This window comes from Homo sapiens, chromosome 3, assembly GCF_000001405.40.
Source record: "Homo sapiens chromosome 3, GRCh38.p14 Primary Assembly".
NCBI classification, from domain to species: domain Eukaryota; kingdom Metazoa; phylum Chordata; class Mammalia; order Primates; family Hominidae; genus Homo; species Homo sapiens.
This window is the reverse complement of record NC_000003.12, coordinates 161047595-161068136: the sequence shown is the minus strand read 5'-3', so window position 1 is coordinate 161068136 and position 20542 is coordinate 161047595. Positions and strand designations below refer to the sequence as shown.

Sequence of the window (20542 nt, the reverse complement as noted above, 5' to 3'; positions counted from 1 at the left end):
ACAGTCCCTGAACATAATATGCACTTAACAATTGTATCTATTATTTTTTTCTTCATCCACATATTTGTCAGATATTTACTAAATACCTACTCCATGGAAGGCAATGTGCAGGATATGAAGTTATACAAGATCCAGACCTTTCTTTAAAAAAGTAGACAGCCTGGCAGGAGAATTAAGCCACAAAAAGTATTAAATACAATAAGCACAAAGTGGTATTCTTCAGGGCGAGACCAGTGTCTGCTAAATGCTGTAGGCAGATGGAGAAGGGAGGGATGATTTCCAGTTCTGATCATGAGGGTAGAATGAACATTAAAGGTGGGCTTTGAGCGATGGGTGAAACATCTATGGGCAGGATATGTAGGAGGACATTCCAGGAAGCATGGTCTAGTAGGCAAGAGCATAAAACCCAGTCCTGGGTTTCAGCTGTGGTCTCACCATTCACTAGCTGTGTGTGCTTGGGCACATAAGCCTCTGTGAAGTTCCAGTTTGTTGGCTACAAAATGAGAATAATATTATCAACCTCTTAAGACAGGCAAAGAGAAAGTGTATGTGTAAAGTGCTAGGCTTTGCTGCCAGCACAGGATAAGCACACAATAAATGACAGCTAATGTTGTTGTTGGAAACAGTATAAGGAGTGGCGACAGAAAGACATGTATTTGGCCCAGACTGGCTGGACCTTACTGTCATGCTAAGCAGGAGGGGGAAAGATGTCCTGAAAAGAGGCTGAGGCCAGAGAAAACACACATGAAGATGGTAAAACCAATCACTGTTTCTTAAGCCTTGTGTAAAATATGCAATTGATCAAATTATGTAAAAGAACAGAGAGGTTAGATTAACCTCCTTGGAGACGGTGTGCAAATTTGCTTCTACAAAGAATCAACATAGGGTGCAGGCGTGGGTAGTGGGTATGACAGGGAAGAAGAGGAAGCATAAAATGGCCATGATATTTCAAAAGAGAGCACTGAATGGTAAGATGACATTTGCAGGTGTATTGTGTACACATCCTTGCCTGATGCTGATGCAAGACTGAGCTAACTGTGTCTTAATTTCACAGCAGACTCCTACAGGCAGATGGTGTTTTACAAGTAGGAAGCCAGAGAACTTTGCTCCTACTGCCTGGAGGTCATCAAAGCTTGATAGATGCTCCTAAAATATCATTCGTTTCATCCCATCAACAGAAAACCTGACCAATGCTTTCATTAAAAACTATTTTGCAACTCAAGCAGTCACTGAAGCAGGAGATTGTAATAAAATTCAACACATTTTGACTTAACAGTATGGTTCCCTACTGTGAAAACTAAAATGTTGATTAGGTTCATTCAGTTCATTCACTGGGCAGAAGCTGACCTGTAGAGATCGAGAGTCAATGTGCAGATTAACCCAGACAGCAAGGGCCCATCCTGGTCAGATACTAGGGTACATGAGCACCCCGCTTGCTCCCCTCTGACAGCTGGCCTGCTGCCTGGCACATCATGAAGAGCATACATCCTGCAGCTCTCAGTCTGAAAAGTTACAGAATTCTTCCCTTACATAGGTATAAAGGTATTCTCTGAAATCGAATTATGAAAATGTAATAATCAACTGATAATTATCCTCCGAGTCTTTGTCCAAACATCACTCTAGCAAGGCCCACACAGGCCACACTACTTAAAACTGCAACTCCCTGACACTCCCCTTACCTGCTTCATGTCTTTCCATAGCAGTTATCAACTTCTAATATACTATATGAATGACTTACTTTTACTATTTTTTTTTGTTAATGTCTATTTACTCCATTCCTCACCCCCATGCCAATTTCAGAATGTAAGTTTCATGAAAGCTTGAGAATGGGGTTTTGTTTTATCCCCAGCTCCTAAAATATTGAATAAACCAATGAATGAATGAATAAGGGACCCCTCTACCCCCAACCTTGCTCTGAAATATTTACTTATACCAGGCACTAAGCCAAATGCTCAAGGCATAGAGATGAACAAAACCAAGTTCCTGTCTTCAAAGAGGTGACAGGAAGGCAAGGCAAATAGGAGAGCCAGGTATGTCCATGTATTGTAAAAGGTGACCCAAGACGTCCACATAGGATGCTGGGGAAAGGCAGAGGGGCATCCACCCCAGAATGGGAAGGCCCTTGCCACAGTGTGACATGGAAAGCTTCCAAAAGAACACCTTAAACTGAGTTTTATGGGACAAGTAATTGTGACCCAGAACAGCACTTGCAAAGGCACAGAGGTATCAGAAACAAGGTCTTTTTAGGAATGATTAGTAGTTAGTTGTGGCTCCGAGGGAAGCAGCATATAGCAACAGGCTAGAGAAAAGTGAGAACCCGGGGCCCAAAGATCTTATTAGCCTTTAAACTGGAAATGGGCTTTTTAGTTCTTTTGGAATCTTTGGCTATGAAGGAAGACAGATTTAGTGGCCATTTATTTGATAGGTAATGTTACAAAGTCAATCTCAGTTACCTCAGTAGCAGCCTCTCTAATACTGCATAACTGGACATTTTATCCAGGAGCTCTCCAAGCAAGCCGCCTTGTTCACCAGCAAGACAGCAGACATTTCTTGGAGGTGTTCACAAGCTCACCTGCTCTCTTTATCCTCTTTCTTTCCTTCAACTGGTAAGGCTTGTGATCATGAGACAAAGGAATAGCGTTCCCATCTTTGTCACACAGGACCCCGCGCGAGTCACCCACGTTGGCCACAGTGAGGTCTTTATCTGATAGCAGAGCAATCAAACACGTTGTGCCTGAAAAATAGAAGAGAGAGAGAACGCGGGAGGTCAGCAGTGCATTCAGGTTCCATTGCTTCTTGTGGTAACTGGATTCTTCAGTCATTAAAATTGCTTCTGCTGGGTGAGAATTTGACTCCAGCCACTCTGAGAATGATGGCTGTTCACTTCGACAACAATGATCAAATCTGACAGTCAATTTTCTTAACCATGTTAGAGTGTCACTAAAATAGGCTAGGATAACATTATAATTTTCCTAAATCACTTTGTCTCTGCTACTCTTAAACACATATCACATTTAAAAGGATTAGGAGAGAAACAAAATCGTTTGAAGTTTCAGTCAACTGATACACACTTTTGGCTTCTGCTTGGTGCTGAGTTTCTGTGAAGTCCCAGTTGGAAGTGGGAAGGATGGGGGTGTGCGGTGGGCTCCTCATTTCTAGGAGGGCCTAGAAATGCCAACAGCTGAATCATGTGGAGCATGAGGAAGCTGCTGATGTCAGGACAGGTTGAGCTTGCCTATACAAAGTCTGACAGCAAAGACTGGTGGCCAGAAACAGGTCCACTCCAGGGTGTGATGGAGGCAGACCATAAAGACAGAAGCAGAGAAAGCTCTGGTGTTGACAGAACTGAGGCCTAGGGAGAGGGTGGTTCGAGTCAGAAGAAAGCAAGATTGAAGACGTGCTTGCCTGAAGCCCACACAAGACACAAAGGACAAGCTCTGCTCAAATCCTTTTTGACATGGGAATGGATAAAAGCAAACAGAGTTGAACGGTCTGGTCTAGTTGGAGCCTGCCCTGTCCAGCTCCTTTCTGTTCACCTCTTCCTTTTTGACAGTGTCACTCAATATGCAAATACCTGCTGAAATGCACAACCCATTCAGCTCTTGACTCAAACATATCTCCCTCGTTAAAATTATGCACTAATTAGTCTTCATTAACGTTTCCTTCCTCATTAAGGTCATATTCTATAACAAGAATGTCAACTGTATCTAAATGGCTCTTTAGTTTTCATGGAACAACAAAAAAGACCGATTTTTTTTTTCTTTTTTTAAGAGATAGGGTCTTGCTCTGTCATCTAGGCTAGGGAGCAGTGTTGTGATCATAACTCACTGAAACCTCAAATTCCTCGGCTCAAGCAATTCCCCCACCTCAGCCTCTGGAGTAGCTGGGACTACAGGTGCATGCCATGGTGCTGGCTTGAAAAAAAACACTGAATTCTTTTTTTTTTTTTTTAATTTTACTTTAAGTTCTGGGACACGTGCAGAATGTGCAGGCTTGTTACATAGGTATACATGTGCCATGGTGGTTTGCTGTACCCATCAACCTGTCATCTAAGTTTTAAGCCCTACATGCATTAGGTATTTGTCCTAATGCTCTCCCTCCCCTTGCCCCACACCCCCTGACAGACCCTGGTGTGTGATGTTCCCCTCCCTGTGCCCATATGTTCTCATTGTTCAACTCCCACTTACGAGTGAGAACATGTGGTGTTTGGTTTTCTGTTCCAGTGTAACTTTGCTGAGAATGATGGCTTCCAGCTTCATCCACGTCCCTGCAAAGGACATGAATTCATCCTTTTTTATGGCTGCATAGTATTCCGTGGTGTATATGTGCCACATTTTCTTTATCCAGTCTATCATTGATGGACATTTGGATGGGTTCCAAGTCTTTGCTATTGTGAATAGTGCTGCAATAAACATATGTATGTATGTGTCTTTATAGTAGAATGGTTTATAATCCTTTGGGTATATACCCAGTAATGGGATTGCTGAGTCAAATGGTATTTCTGGTTCTAGATCCTTGAGGAATTGCCACACTGTCTTCCACAATGGTTGAACTAATTTAGACTCCCACCAACAGAAAAAAAAACAACAACACTGAATTCTTAAATAGACATAAAGAATAAACACAGGTTGATATCAAGAGCAGAGAGAATTAAAATAACTATCATAATATAATCAGTTATTATAGTTCTGCTTGAAATTCCATTCTTAAGCTTATTTAACTAAAAATGCCTTGATCAGATATGGAAACACATGAAATGTTGGTTAACACAGGATTTCTAATACAAAAGGCCTTGGGGGAAAAAAAAGACTAATTTCATGGATTATCAAAACAATTTTTAAAAAGCTATAAGAATGAAAATTAAGCAAAAGCACAATCCACACAATTAGAAATTGTTGTTACCAGTTTTTGATTTTTTTTTTATATTGGAAACTGAAATTTTGGTATTCAACATATCCTCACTTTGTCCCCAAACATCTGATTGAATTAAATTATCCTACACAATCATAGCATAAATTCTCCTATAAGGCACAGTCTTAGAGTTTGAAAGGTAAAATAGAAAGATTGCTTCATGGGATATTACATGGCTTGTAGGCATTACTTCAGCATCACTCTTGGAGTCCTCTCTCTATAGGACTCTCTTCTCTTCTCACTCTGCACTTTCTAGGTGAGCATGTCGCCGACCTTGGCTTCCACACTTTCTAAGTCTATGCAGTTAGGCTGGTTGACACTCCTGAGGTCTACACCAACTGCCTAGTAGGCGTTTCCATTTGCCTGTACTCCAGGGGATCCAAGGAAAGGCTTTAGGGCCTCCATGAGAGGGAAGGGGAGGAATCCAGCTGGCTGAGTTAAAGGCCCCTTCCCCAGCCGCATTTCAACTAGGACAGCTCTGCTTCCACGTGTTAACAGCTAACAAGTCAGCTGCCACGCAAGATTTCTTTTTAAAAAAGGGAGAAGGAGGCATTCTTGCAGCTAGAAAAATAAAATAAAATTTAGTCCCATATTTGATTAAGAATCACTGAAGGGTTTTAAGCAGGATAGTGACACAATGAGATTCATATTTTAAAAGATGATTCCAGGGGCAATGCAGAAGATAGACAAATTGGGAGCAGTGAGAACAGGTGGAATTAATGAGGATCTGAATTAATGTAATAAATATAGGGATAGAGGGTAGGTGATAGGTTCTTATTTTTTATTTTGTAGAGATGGGTTCTCACTATATTGCCTAGACTGGTTTTGAACTCCTGGCCTCAAGTGATCCGCCTGCTGGCCTTTTAAAGTGCTGGGATTACAGGTGTGAGCCACTGTGCCCAGCTCCTGTGACAGGTTTTTAAAAACCAGAATGGATCACTCATAGAAACTGAGGAGAATAAAGGATGAGGGGAGAAGTTTAGGATAATACCCGTATATCTAGATGGGAGAAACTGGGCATTCCATGGACGAGGACTCAAAAAAGTCTGCTGGGGGCTTCTGAGAAAGGCTTTTTTTTTTCCCCCCCCACTAAAAGAGACACAGAACAGACAATGACTGTTTATTTGGCCCAGTGCTAGCCTATGTGTTTCCCAGAAGTGTGGCAGCCATCTTGCAGCTATGAAGGGATATCCCTTAGGGTCATGGCAACAAGTGCAGGATGGTAGAGCACAGAGGTAAACAGTAGAGCCTGAGTCCTGGAGAATATCAGGGAACTGCTGAGCCAGCCTAGAGCTGCCCTGTCCTTGTTCAATGAGACAATAAATGCCTTTCTTGTTTGAGACTTTTTGAGTTGAATTTTTTGTTGTTGTTGTTCCCTGTAATATCTGAATTTGATGAGAGATTTAGAGTGTGGCTGTTTAGCTACACAGTTGTCCCTTGGGATCTGCTGGTGATTGGTTCTAGACCCCCTATAGATAGCAAAATCCACGGATGGCCAAGTCCCTTATATAAAATGGCTTAGTATTTGCATATAACCTATGTACATCCTCTTGTATACTTTAAGTCATCTCTAGATTACTTATAATCTATAATGTAAATGCTACGTAAATAGTTGTTATATTGTTTTTTAATTTGTATGATGTTATATTGTTTTTTATTGCTTTAAAAATATTTTTGATCTGTGGTTGGTTGAATCCACAAATGTACAACCTATGGACATGAAGAGCCAACTGTACTCACATGCTATTGAACATACTTAAGATCGATGACCCGCCTTTGTCACAAACAAATCCCACTGTTTCTATGGGTAAATTAAGATCTACCTCATGGTGAAGTTTTCAGGACTATCCTGCCTATGTTAGCAACAGAATCTTAGACCTGGCCAAAATGGGTGAGCCCCAGATGGCAGGGTTATGAGTTATAGGTGGTATTCTGAATTACTGAAATGTCTCCATTCCTGTCTCTACAGAGGAAACCTGCCCCTATCCTGGGTGAGGTTTGTGTGGTTCTGGAGAAATAATACGTGCAAAGCAATGCTGAGCACTGGGGTGGGAGGCTTAAGAATGATCTGAAACAAACCAGGACACCAAAAAAAACTTACTGTTTGGGCTTTGCAGTTTTAGCTCAGGATTATAACAGATAGTTTACAATCTCATCTTACTTGACAGAACAAACTGCTTGTTGCTGGGAAACTCCAGAAAAGACATTATGCCCAAGAGAAAATGAAAAAATCATTTTCTTTTTATGCTTGAGACAAAACACTTGCAAAATTCTGGCTATTAGTTCTGAGATAAAATATTTATTCCATCATAGCACTATATTTATCAAAAATACCAGGGCCAGACAATGTTACTTAATTCTGAACCTCAGGATATTTCCATATTAACAATTTAATCTAGATGAGAACTTAATTGCAAATCTGAAAGAGATCTTGGAAATTTAACCTAATAACCTTATCTCATGGGTTTAAAAAAAAACCCAAAAAGCTTAAAAAAAAAAAAAAAGCGAATTCACATGGACCAGACTTCAATGTCCTAGCTAAGTGAGGTTTGGCAAGTTATTTGACTTTTAAGCCTCAGAAAATGGCACCATAATCCACTCCATTGCTCAAGCCAGAACCTAAGAATCATCCTTAATTTTTCTCTTTTCCTCTTTCCTGACATTCAGTCCATCATTAAGTTCTGTTACTCTTACCTCTAAAATATCTCTTAAACCCTTCCAGTTTGTTCTCACAGCATTGACTCCAGTCCCAACCACTGTCATTTTAGCCCCCGGGCTATTTCAGTAGTCCAGGTGAGAAACAATGGTGGCAAGTCCTGCATGACCTGGCCCCTAGCTAATTTGTCTAATATCATGTCACACCACTCCCTTCCTTGCTCAAGGCCTCCCTCCTGTTGCCCATACATGCCAACCTTTTTGTCATCTTTGGGCTTTTGTACTCGCTGTTCTCTCTGCCTGGCTTGTTCTCCTGTCCTTGACATTGGTTGACTGACCCATATGAAGATGTTGTAGCTCAAATGTGACATCTTCAGAGAGGCCTTTTCTGACAGGGATTGTATTTCCTCTTTGTTTATTGCCCTTACAACACACAATTATGTAGATATCTTGCTTATTTATTTAGACTATTTATTTATTTAGTGTCAGTCTTTCCCTTTAGAATATAAACTTCACAAGATATATTAGTCCATTCTTACACTGCTATAAAGAAATACCTGAGACTGGGTAATTTATACAGAAAAGAGGTTTAATTGGCTCATGATTCTGGAGGCTGTACTGGAAGCATAGTGGCTTCTGCTTCTGGGGAGGCCTCAAGAAGCTTCCAATCATGGCAGGAGGCAAAGGAGGCATGAGGCACTTCACATAGCTGGAGCAGAAGGAAGTGGGTGGGGGGAGGTGCAATACACTTTTAAACAACCAGATCTCACAAGAACTCACTATCACAAGAACAGCACCAAGAAGGACAGTGACAAATCATTCATGAGAAACCGCCCCCAGGATCCAGTTGCCTCCCACCAGGCCCCACCTCCAACAATGGGGATTACAATTTGACATGAGATTTGGGAAGGGACACAGATCCAAACCGTATCAGAAGTTTTGGATTTTCCCACTACAATGCTGATGTCTAGAATATTAAAAGCACCCAACATAGGCTAAATAAGCAAATTAATAGATGAATGAATAAGCGTTCACACATAATGTCCTGACCTGACATAATGCTAAGCTTCTAAAGTCTTGCTCTGACAGGTCAGCCCAGTTCAGTACACAATGGACAACACCATTGTCCAGCTATTGCCATAAAAAGAGCTATCAGATGTAGCAAAATACACTTTACACCCTGATGAAAACACGATGACCCTCCTGTACATGTATAGCTCATGCTCCCATGCTCACTCCTGGTAGGTGGAGAGAACTTCTGGCCCAGATATGTCCAAAGTTCTTTCCTCCATCCAAGATTCTGGTCCAGTGCAAATAACATATGGGTAGGGCTTCCATCCTCACCACACCATCCAAAGCCATGGCACCTTGTGAAGCAATAAAGGTACATTACAGTGGTCATTATGAGGACAATCTGTGTCCACTTCTGAACTCAATATGTACTTCAGCAAAATGGGCATGTTTTTGTGTTGGACTAATAATTATTGTTTTCCTTAGGGAAGACACACAAATGCAAATTATGTATCAGTCTATTCCTGTAAACCAACATTCTCCCCTCTGATTTAATTTCTGGAATGCAGACAAAGTAACAGTATACAAAAAAGTTATTCTAAGCTTAACTAAGTATTTTGCTTAGATAATATTAGACAATTAATTCATTTGACAAGTAGAGCTTGAGAAAACTGTAAATCCTAATGAGGGTTATGTAACTTGGGGTATCTCAGACATCTTTTAGATTCCTAGTTATAAATACTTTTAAAACTTTCTCAGTTAAATTCATAACAAAGTTGTAATAACGATTTGTTCAGTACTATAAACTCTACTAAGTGGCTCACAAACATACTTGCAATTGATTTTCAAACATTCAGAGTGGGGAGGGCAGGTATTCTCCCTCTAAGCAGATGAGGAAAACGGGACTCAGAAACCTCAAATATCTTATCCTTCACGCCCACCCCAATCCTCAGCCCCTCCCCCAGCATTATGAGTTTGTATAGTATACAAAGCACTATGATAAAAAGTTTCTTTTCCATGAAACCCCAAGTGTCTTATCCCTGATTACATTGCTCAATGCATATGTACTGAATGACTAAATGACTAAAAAACCTGGGAATCCAAAATTGTTACTTTAGTAATAATGAAAATGATGGGCTGGGTGTGGTGGCTCATGCCTGTAATCCCAGCACTTTCGGAGGCTGAGGCAGGCAGATTACCTGAGGTTAGGAGTTCGAGACCAGCCTGGCCAACATGGTGAAACCCCATCTCTACTAAAAATACAAAAATTAGCCAGGTGTAGTGGCACATGCCTGTAATCCCAGTTACTCCGGAGGCTGAGGCAGGAGAATTGCTTGAGCCCGCGAGACAGAGGTTGCAGTGAGCCAAGATCGTGCCACTGCACTCCAGCCTGGCTGACAGAGTGAGACTCTGCGTCAAAAAAAAAAAAAAAAAAAAAAAAGGAAAGAAAATGATGGACCCTACTAAAGTATTTTATTATAATGCTAAACATTTTATTATATACTTAACCTCTCTGGAACTCAAAAACAAGACGTTTGGATTAATTAACCTCCAGGCCCCTTTCAGCTTGAATATTCTGCAGATCTTAAATTGAAATTGCAAACTCCAATGCTTTCAGGTAAGGTATAAGAAAAATCTTGGCCTTCTTGGAGTAGCTATTTACCCTGCTACTTTTGATGGGAACCTGGGTTCTAAAACATTTTCTGGCTCTAAGGAAGGGCAAGCATGATGACAAGTGAAACTGACATCAGGTTTCAGTGTTGGGGCTACAAAAGGGAGTCGGGGGGGCTTGTGACAAATGGGAGAACACGTGCTCAGGGGAAAGCAGTTCCTCAGCAACGAAAATGGCTGCCGCGTAGGAATGCAGGTCCACTGTGAATGTTTCCTCCGATTTTTCAAGGGAAGTCTTTTTTGTATGAACTCTCCTGATTTTTAAACGTTAGCAACTTTTCTTTTAAAAAGCAGTACAAGCCAAGCGAAAGGCAGCTGTTGGTCAAATCTGGGCTGTTGGTGACCCTGTGCTCCCGGGCTTTCTATTAAATTAACGCCCAAGATTACTATGATTCTTCATAGTACCCCTTTGTATAACAATAAAGTTGACAATGAAACCTTACACTTCTGGTCTGTTTTATGAGTCGTGAAGTGTTTTCTTACCCATTCTGGCACTCGATTCTCAAAGCTCATCAGATCAGGCAGGGAGGAATTATCACATCTACCTTATAAATGCATAAAATGGGTAAAGACAGTTCAGGTATTTCTTTAAGGTCATGTGGCTAGTTAGGTGAGGCGGAGGAGGGAAGGGATGACAACAGAGACCTGTAGCAGCTGAGGGTAATGTTGGCATCACATCTCATGGCTGCCAGCTGCCAACTTACTGTACATCACATATCATGCTATTTATATGCCTTATTTATGATTCTTTGACCCATTAGGCTGAAACTCCCTTTTAGGGCCAGGGAGATGCCTTAGTCATTGCTGTATTCTTTTTTATTTTTTTGAGATGGAGTTCACTCTTGTTGCCCGGGCTGGAGTGCAGTGGCGCGATCTCGGCTCACTGCAACCTCCGCCTCCTAGGTTCAAGTGATTCTCCTGCCTCAGCCTCCCAAGTAGCTGGGATTACAGGCGTGCGCCACCATGCCCAGGCTAATTTTTGTATTTTTAGTAGAGACGGGGTTTCACCATATTGTCCAGGTTGGTCTTGAACTCCTGACCACAGGTGATCTACCCACCTCGGCCTCCCAAAGTACTAGGATTACAGGGGTGAGCCAACGTGCCGGCCCATTGCTGTATTCTTATAAGAGTGCTTTGTACACTGCACAGACATAATGCTGAGGGAGGGGCTAAGGATTGGGGTAGGAGCGAAAGAAATGTAGGTGCTTTTCAATTTATACCTATTAATTGTACTAGTATAATTTACCCCTTATACTATGCAAATATAGACACTCTAATCATGTCCACACACATACTTATATTTTTAACAAATATTAACAGGGCTATCTTGGTGATAGGATTTTAGACCTTTTTGTTTTCTTCTTTATATTTTTCTGTATTCAGATGAATTTAATGTTATTTAAATGTTGCAGTCAGGTGAAGTTTTACTTATTCACAGTGTTTCAGTAGCATATTTACTGCATCAAGCAAAGTATACAAGATATAAAACAAAATATAGAACTTACAATCCCGTTACAGAGAGTAAGATGGTAGAGATGGAAAAGGACTCAGAGGAATAGTGGTGACAATGATGACAGCAGCCTTTTTGATAGTACACATTCAGATTCAGATTCAAATATCAATGACTGTCCATCAGTGTCTGGGTGACATTGAGAGCCTCAGCTGCTTTTAGGCTCTCCCTGCACTGCCTTGCTGCATCTCTTAAGTAGTGCCACTCAATCCTTCTCCTCAGAGCAAACATTCTGCCTTGGGTGCCAATTAAGATCCTCACTCCCTTGCCCCCCTCCAACCTTTCTGTAGGCACACAGGTATGATTTAAAAATTGGAGTCCTGAGAATCCTTATTTTATGAAAATCCACCTTACTGCAACATTTTCTTAAGTGAGTGATGTCACTTTTTATGTTGTGGGGTACGGATTGGAAGCTGGATGGAGTAGAGAAAGTTGTGTGGAATTAACATGGTTTATAAGCCTTGCTTGATAATGCACATGGACACTCACCCACACAATGCCAGACTGCTTATGCTAATAGCAGCTCCCTTCTGTGACATAAAGTCTTTTCTATGAGAATAAGGGAAACTGCCATTTTTGTTCTTTAGGAAAGAGAGAGAGAGATTGGGGAGGGTAAGGAAGGGGTGGCAAGGGGTGAGGAAGGGGAGGAGGCGAAAGGGGGCGAGACATAGAGAGATAGGCACACACACACTTCAAGGATTTCAGTGAAGGTGTTACAACAGCCAAAGGGCCATTCATTATACACAGCACAGGAGAATCAACACATTTTTAGGATGAGGAGAAATAAAATAGGTTTATCTCGTAAAGGTTTGACAATGAGTGTTAGTTCAATAACACAATTTCAGGGCATAGATGACATCAAGGCCTGATAACGGACAGAAATTACATTGGAGTGCAACATACTGGAAAAAGAGCAGGTGAAGGCAGTCATTAATGAAACTATCACATGGGAAAGATAAGATCACTGTCAGCAGAGGTTTCCAGCCCCCACCTTCCACAGCCAACACTGTGGTCAGCCCTGTCCTGAAACACACATAAAGTACCCGGCAGCTCTCAGATAAGACTCCCTGACCCCTACTCTTGTCTGCATAATCTTTAAGTCTGCCAAAATCTGACCTGCCTAGAGGTTTTTACGAGTCTTTCTTCTAATAATCAATGCCATGGCATAGAAAGACTTGTCAGGGATGATACCTTGTGTGGAAAACACTATAAACAGTAAGCTTTAATCTTTCTTTTCTCTCTTGTCTATTGCCTGAGTCCTTGTACCCCCTGCTCTGACTTCACTGAGAGGCAGGCCATCATCAGAGTCATATCAATGTGTGTGGCTGGGCTAAGACACTGTGTCACCTGACATATTAGTCTAACTCTGTGAAGAGACTATTAAATTAATACTAATTACGATTCAAATCACAAGTCCATAGGTCCCCTGTAATAAGTCTTGTAGTAATGGGCTTGAAAGTCATTTTATGTTAAGAGAGGATGTGTAGAAAGTAATTGGAAATTGGAAAATGATCTATCTATATGGAAGGACACAAATGGGCCACATTGTGACAGCTGCCATATACTGAGCATTCACCATGCGTCAGGCTCTGTACTTAGTCCTTGGCATACATAATTTCTTTAATCCTAATAGCCTATGATGTACTATTATTATTCCCATCTTACAGATGATAAAACTGAGATTATGTGACTAGCCCAAGGTCACACAGCTAGTAAGGGGTAGAACCCACCTAGCCTGTTGCCAGAGTCTTGCTTTCAACATCAGGGCAGGCCATTGCTACCTTGTGTTTAATTTTTTGTGTGCAAACCAGAAAAAGGTATGTCTTCATCAAGACCCTTTACTACCATCTCCATAAAATGGCCATAATACATATTTAAATCGACAATGACCACAGTGTGAATGGTGCCGTCCAGAGCTGTGGGGTAATCCAAACATACACAACCATATGGGCAACCCTGCTTAGAGGCTTTATCCCGTACCCACTGACCCCAGGAAGAAAGACATCATAGTACAAGGTCAGTCAATGAGGAAGTTCAGCAGAACAGCACATTAGGGGGTTTCTATTTCATGGAGAGACTGGTAGCAGCCCTAAAACCTGACTGGGAAGAGTGAAACACTGACAACAAAACATCTGAGGCAAAGGATATAATTAAGAACACACCAAGGCCTTCTTCCATCAAGACCTGAGGTACTAGGATAGCAAACCATCTTTGTGGGCTTCCAAGCAGAAGAAGCAGTGATGGGACACGCCCATATATGCAGGGAGGCTCATGTGAATCCCCTGAACTGGGTGGAGACTGAAGGTCCCCTAAAATGGCACCTCCTTGGGTCTTCCTTTACAATAGAAGCTGCCTCAGCTTCCCCTCATCATGTGCTAAAGAGCAGAGCGGCAGGAATGACATTTTATGAGAAATAGATCCATTACAAATTAAAATTTTCTTTTCCTCTCTGATATTTTTGCATAAGCAAACATATCAACTATTGAGTTTGACACTGGATGAATATGAGGCAGTCAACTTGATGACAAATTCTATTATTTTAAACCCTAGTGCTATATAGTTTAATTCTAGATTTAGGTATACTTTGGCTCTTCCCCAGCAAACACAGTGATTAATAAGATGGCTACAATAAATTGAGAAACAGGGGATGAGTGCCAGAAAGACCTTTTCCACAAATGAGGTATGCCACCCTAAATATGAAAAAATATCTCTTTAGTGAGGGAGGTGGGGGTCATAATTCAACTTTCAGAATCTGACGGAGTGTTCATTTAATTTTCACACTTCACCAGAGTTAAAGTATAGATGTGTCATCTGATTCTCATGAATACTATTTTGAAATTAAAATGTTCTTCAACTTCACATTTCAACTGCTGTAATAATAATGTTTATTTCACACTTGGGTGCAGCCTATGGGCAACCTTCTGGTCCTTCCTTTTCTGTTAAGTATGAACATATTAAAGAGAGCTGCTTCCTAGTAAACTGATCACATGCATTGGAGAGTCTTAGGAAACCACAGTGGGTCCACTTGCTGCAGGAGGCTTCATATATACTCTCTGGGCATGACTATTTTGAGGTACATTCAAGCAGACAAGCTTTTCTGATCCTCATTAACATACTTCTCATAACTATTGCTGGCATTTCAGATTATACAATGCTACTGAAATTAATTTATAATTACATAATCACAACCTGAATTCTAAGTCCAGTATCTTTTAATGGTAAATAAAATTAATTTCATGGTTGCTTTGATTCTTCCTACATAAGCCAGAGAAGCACCAGCTATATTTTTTCACGTCTTCGTGTTATTTGAGGATTCTTCAGTGAGTTGTCTCACTTCTCTTTTAGGGTTCCCAGCAAATTATAACTACGGTCTCTGCTTTTTTTATGAATGCTATGGGAGTGGGGTATAACAGGAACTTCTGAAATTGAACCTTATTACAAGGGGCATTTGCCTTTCAATAAAAGGCAGAGAGGAGAAAGGCAGAGACAGGAAAAGGGGAGAAGAAGGCTGAAAATGAGAGGCACAGTCTGAAGCATCTGGTACTTAAAAGAGAATTACACTTTCTTTAACCTTTTTGTTATTGGTGTAGAATCAACACTCTTCCCTATAGTTTTAATTTAAAATGAACCTGTCCTTTGATATTATTAGGTTATCCTTATACAAATGACCATATAGTTATAAATCTATTTACATATACATGTGTTGGTAGGATGATATTTAGAGATATTAAATTCCCATCCCCTTGCATGTATATGACCCTCTTCCATTCAGCCTGAGACACTCATTGTCCTAGGGGCTATTAGGATTGCTATGGCTGAAATGCAAAGAAAAAGAAATAGTTATGCTCAGCTTTTGAATTTCAAGGAGACTGTGGAAATTCACAAAGCAACAATATTCTCAAGATAAAGGTCTTTTTACAAATCTATCAACCAAGGTTTTGGGCCACACCCCAGGACTACGAAGATGGAGCAAACAGTGAGTTTTCCTGCCCATGAATCCTCTCTTCCTGCTCTCCCTGATAAGTAAGGCTGGCCAGACAGCAGGGGTGTGAGTAGAGGAAGATGCAAGGGAGACAAAGAGGAAAACCAAGAGGGAGTCTTTGATGTGAGGATCTCCAAGAATTATGTGGAGCTCAAAGCACAGAAGACATAGAACTTGCTTTCCTGGGAATAGCCTAATAAATCATAAACCTTTGCTCCAGTATGGAAAGGCAATGGCTGAATAAGAAGCTAACTGGACAGTCTGGTGTGAAGCAGAGAAAACTGCTGAGAACCGCTGGCCTCCCATTGAGTGAGAACAGTAACTCTCAGGAGCTTCAGTGCCCCAATGAGTGGGCCTTCCAACCACAGGTCATGGAAACTCTGGGTCGCCCCCGCAGATGCCAGGTCAATAACACCATCCTGACACTTAGATCGCCCCTGGGGAAAAGGCGGACAAAAACATAAGGTCAATTTGGTATTTACACAAAAGAACCTGAGAAAATCAGGAAATTATGGGATATACGTGGAAGTGAATGAAATAAGCCCTTGTAAAGCATGCCATTGGCAGGTTCTGCAGTTACTCATAAATTATTTCCAGATGATATTTTCCATCCAAACAGAACACAGTCACTTATAAACTCACTTGGAGGGACAAAATAAAGACTATGCTATCATGTACATGTAGGATAAATAACCCCTAATCAGATTTTGGGCCATTTTGATCCAATAATATTATTAATTATCTAGCTTGTTTTGGGCTCAGCAGACTATAAAACTGACTCTAAAGCTATGTTTCCAGGAAGGCTGTGGTCCCAATGACCTGATAAAATCCTGATATTAGTTATATCTGGCCTATCTGGACACATATCAAAAAGTGATATCTCATCCATACATCTATATCTGAGAAAATACAAGCATATTACTGAATGAAGATGACCCTCTTTCTCCCTCACACTTCTATCTCCTGTATTTAATAATATAGGACAGGATGGTTGTGTGTGTGTGTGTGTGTGTGTGTGTGTGTAGTGACTAAATGGTTCTGTGTTCCTTGTTCCCTCATTCAGTGCCTACTATGTACAAAGTACTCGGTGTTTTCTGGAGAAATAAAGATGAATAAAATATAGTCCTTACCCGCAAGGCACTTACTGTCTAATGCCAAAATAAAACCAAACAGACACTTAGAATTCAGCATGATAAATGCTATGACAGTACTATGAGAGCCCAGATGTATGGGTGTGGGTGATAGCAGAGAAGGGAACTTGTCTCAGTCTGAGGAGATGGCGGGTGGTGGAGAGGATAGCTGGGAGGAAGTGAGACCTCAACTCTCTCTTAAAGATGCAACAGAGAGGAATTCACATAGTTTAATATGGTTCTTGACACAAAGAAGGAGGTAAAGAAGCAATCTGTAGAATAAAACCAAATGAAAGGAGCAACTTTTAAGAGAGGATTTCTTTGTAATTCACTTTCAAAACAAAGAATAGAAAAAAATACTTGTTTATGCTCTTTGACCTAATAATGCCAATTCTTGGATTTTATCCTAAGGAAATAATCAGAGATTTGAACTGAGCTTTATGTACAAGGATTGACCTCATAGAATTACTTAAAGTAGCAAAACAATGAAGACAGCCAAAATGAGTAGCTATAGTATGACAAAATGCATTATTAACTATCCAAACAAGAAAGCATTACAAGGACATTAATTATAGTGTTTCTGAAGAATATATATTGTCATGAGAAAGTCTCATATTTTAAGTAAAAAATAAAACACTTCTTATAAAATTTAAAAATAAATATTACATTAGCATTTTTACTTGAAAAGAACTATATATAAAAATTCCAATTTCATTCATTTAAATACTTGAAATGTGTATACAAATATATGCCAAAGATATTAGAAGAAAAAAGGATATCAGCTTTTAAAGTTGATTTGAATTTTTAAAAAAACTTTTCTGAAATTTTCCTAATTTCCTAGATACAATATGACTCATTTATAGAAATTACTTCACTTTTACCAAATTCAGAGCTTTTTACTTTCATGTTTCTTGGTGTTAGGCATTTTTTCCTTTCCTACTGAGGGTCTTTTGTCATGGTCTACAATGACTTGACTGGTCTTTTTGATAGTTGTTTGATTTTCCTCACTGGATCAACCTGTCATTTCAGTAACTTAAGACTGCGGCTATGCAAGTGAAATATTGATAAACCTTACTGACTCCCTGTTTTCTGTTTTGGCCAATGTAGTTCCAGAGAAAGAAAAAACAGTATCAGAAGGAACAGGGAACGCCAGGTCATAGACTCATCATGGGAGGCTTGGAAAGCTCTGGGTTTGCTGACACCACACTCAGGTGACACCACCATACCACATGGTTAGATGCTTTTGCCCAGGAAGGGACAAGGGATGGCCAGGAAGGTCGGGGGAAAAGTGGCAGACGGCAGCAGGAACAGGCTGATTATGAAACACTTGCTGCATGGGAAGCTTTGACCAGGGAGAGCCAGCTCTAGAACAGCTGGTGAGTCTGTTTCTGCTATGGGCAATTACTGAGTAGGTGTCACACTGTACAGGGGACCAGGCTGATGGAGGGCAGGGCTGGTGAGGAGGAGGAGTTACAGGATGCCAGAATCTCAAACCAGATATCAAGTCACAACAGGAAATGTTATTAACTAAACAGCTACAATGGGCCAGACACTCCATTTGCTGTTCACACATACCTGACCTTATCCAGTTTCACAAAAATCCTGCAAGGTACATGGGATTATTATTACCATCCCCTATCCCATTCTACAGATATGGAATAAGAAGCTCACCAATATCAGATTGCTTTTGAGTAGAAGACGAAGATTTTGAACCCAGGTCTGACACCCTAAATCAGGCTTTTAAAAATTTCTGCAAGATGTAGAACCTTATTAGGAGTGTGGCAAGGAGGCAGTTAGTTTTAGCAGCATATAACTTTATTTAAGGATTCTTTAAAGTTTATGCAGGTTGGGCATCCCAAATCCAAAAATCCAAAATCCAAAATGCTCGAATGAGCATTTCCTTTAAGCATCATGTTGGTACTCAGAAAGTTTCTTGTTTTTGTTTTAGGGTTTTTTTGTTTTGTTTTGTTTTGGTTTGGTTTTTTTTTTGAGACAGGATCTCACTTTGCTGCCCAGGCTAGAGCGCAGTGGCACAATCCTGGCTCATTGCAGCCTCGATCTCCTCACCTCAAGTGATCCTCCCACCCCAGCTTCCCAGGTAGCTGGGATTAGAGGTATGTGCTACCACGTCCATCTAATTTTTGTATGTTTTGGAGAGATGATGTCTCACCGTGGTTTTTTTTTTTTTTAATACTTTAAGTTCTAGGGTACATGTTCACAACCTGCAGGTGTGTTACATATGTATATATGTGCCATGTTGGTGCGCTGCACCCATTAACTCGTCATTTACATTAGGTATATCTCATAATGCTATCCCTCCCCCCTCCCCCCACCCCACGACAGGCCCCAGTGTGTGATGTTCCCCTTCCTGTGTCCAAGTGTTCTCATTGTTCAATTCCCACTTATAAGTGAGAACATGCAGTGTTTGGTTTTTTGTCCTTGTGATAGTTTGCTGAGAATGATGGTTTCCAGCTTCATCCATGTCCCTACAAAGGACATGAACTCATCCTTTTTTATGGCAGCATAGTATTCCATGGTGTATATATGCCACATTTGCTTAATACAGTCTATCATTGATGGACATTTGGGTTGGTTCCAAGTCTTTGCTATTGTGAATAATGCCGCAATAAACATACGTGTGCATGTGTCTTTACAGCAGCATGATATATAATCCTTTGGGTATATACCCAGTAATGAGATGGCTGGGTCAAATGGTATTTCTAGTTCTAGATCCTTGAGGAATCGCCACACTGTCTTCCACAATGGTTGTACTAGTTTACAGTCCCACCAACAGTGTAAAAGTATTCCTATTTCTCCACATTCTCTCCAGCACCTGTTGTTTCCTGACTTTTTAATGATTGCCATTCTAACTGGTATGAGATGGTATCGCATTGTGGTTTTGATTTGCATTTCTCTGATGGCCAGTGATGATGAGCCTTTTATCATGTGTCTGTTGACTGCATAAATGTCTTCTTTTGAGAAGTGTCTGTTCATATCTTTCACCCACTTTGTGATGGGGTTTTTTCTTGTAAATTTGTTTGAGTTCTTTGTAGATTCTGGATATTAGCCCTTTGTCAGATAAGTAGATTGCAAAAATTTTCTCCCATTCTGTAGGTTGCCTGTTCACTCTGATGGTAGTTTCTTTTGCTGTGCAGAAGCTCTTTAGTTTAATTAGATCCCATTTGTCAATTTTGGCTTTTGTTGCCATTGCATTTGGTGTTTTAGTCATGAAGTCCTTGCCCATGCCTATGTCCTGAATGGTATTGCCTAGGTTTTCTTCTAGGGTTTTTATGGTTTTAGGTCTAACATTTAAGTCTTTAATCCATCTTGAATTAATTTTTGTATAAGGTGTAAGGGAGGGATCCAGTTTCAGCTTTCTACATATGGCTAGCCAGTTTTCCCAACACCATTCATTAAATAGGGAATCCTTTCCCCATTTCTTGTTTTAGTCAGGTTTGTCAAAAATCAGATGGTTGTAGATGTGTGGTATTATTTCTGAGGGCTCTGTTCTGTTACATTGGTCTGTATCTCTGTTTTGGTATCAATACCAGGCTGTTTTGGTTACTATAGCCTTGTAGTATAGTTTGAAGTCAGGTAGCATGATGCCTCCAGCTTTGTTCTTTTGGCTTAGGATTGTCTTGGCAATGTGGGCTCTTTTTTGGTTACATATGA

General features: G+C 40.6%; 1 protein-coding gene across 4 annotated transcripts in view, besides 1 other annotated feature; it reads right to left on the bottom strand.

Moving 5' to 3' along the window:
* PPM1L (protein phosphatase, Mg2+/Mn2+ dependent 1L) overlaps positions 1–20542 on the bottom strand; it is a 322672-nt gene that overhangs the window by 10766 nt on the left and 291364 nt on the right. For all 4 annotated transcript variants that reach the window (NR_134243.2, NM_139245.4, NM_001317912.2 and 1 more), the window contains one exon: positions 2573–2734. Coding sequence is in view for 3 of the 4 variants with exons in the window: in NM_139245.4 (NP_640338.2) it covers positions 2573–2734 (162 nt within the window). In the remaining variant the exon portion in view is untranslated. The remainder of the gene's footprint in view (positions 1–2572; positions 2735–20542) is intronic.
* Positions 465–594: an enhancer, noted in NCBI's record as "active region_20766". NCBI's record gives its function as "activates an Ori minimal core promoter by ATAC-STARR-seq in GM12878 lymphoblastoid cells {active_cell/tissue: GM12878}" and the evidence as "EXISTENCE:reporter gene assay evidence [ECO:0000049][PMID:35858748]".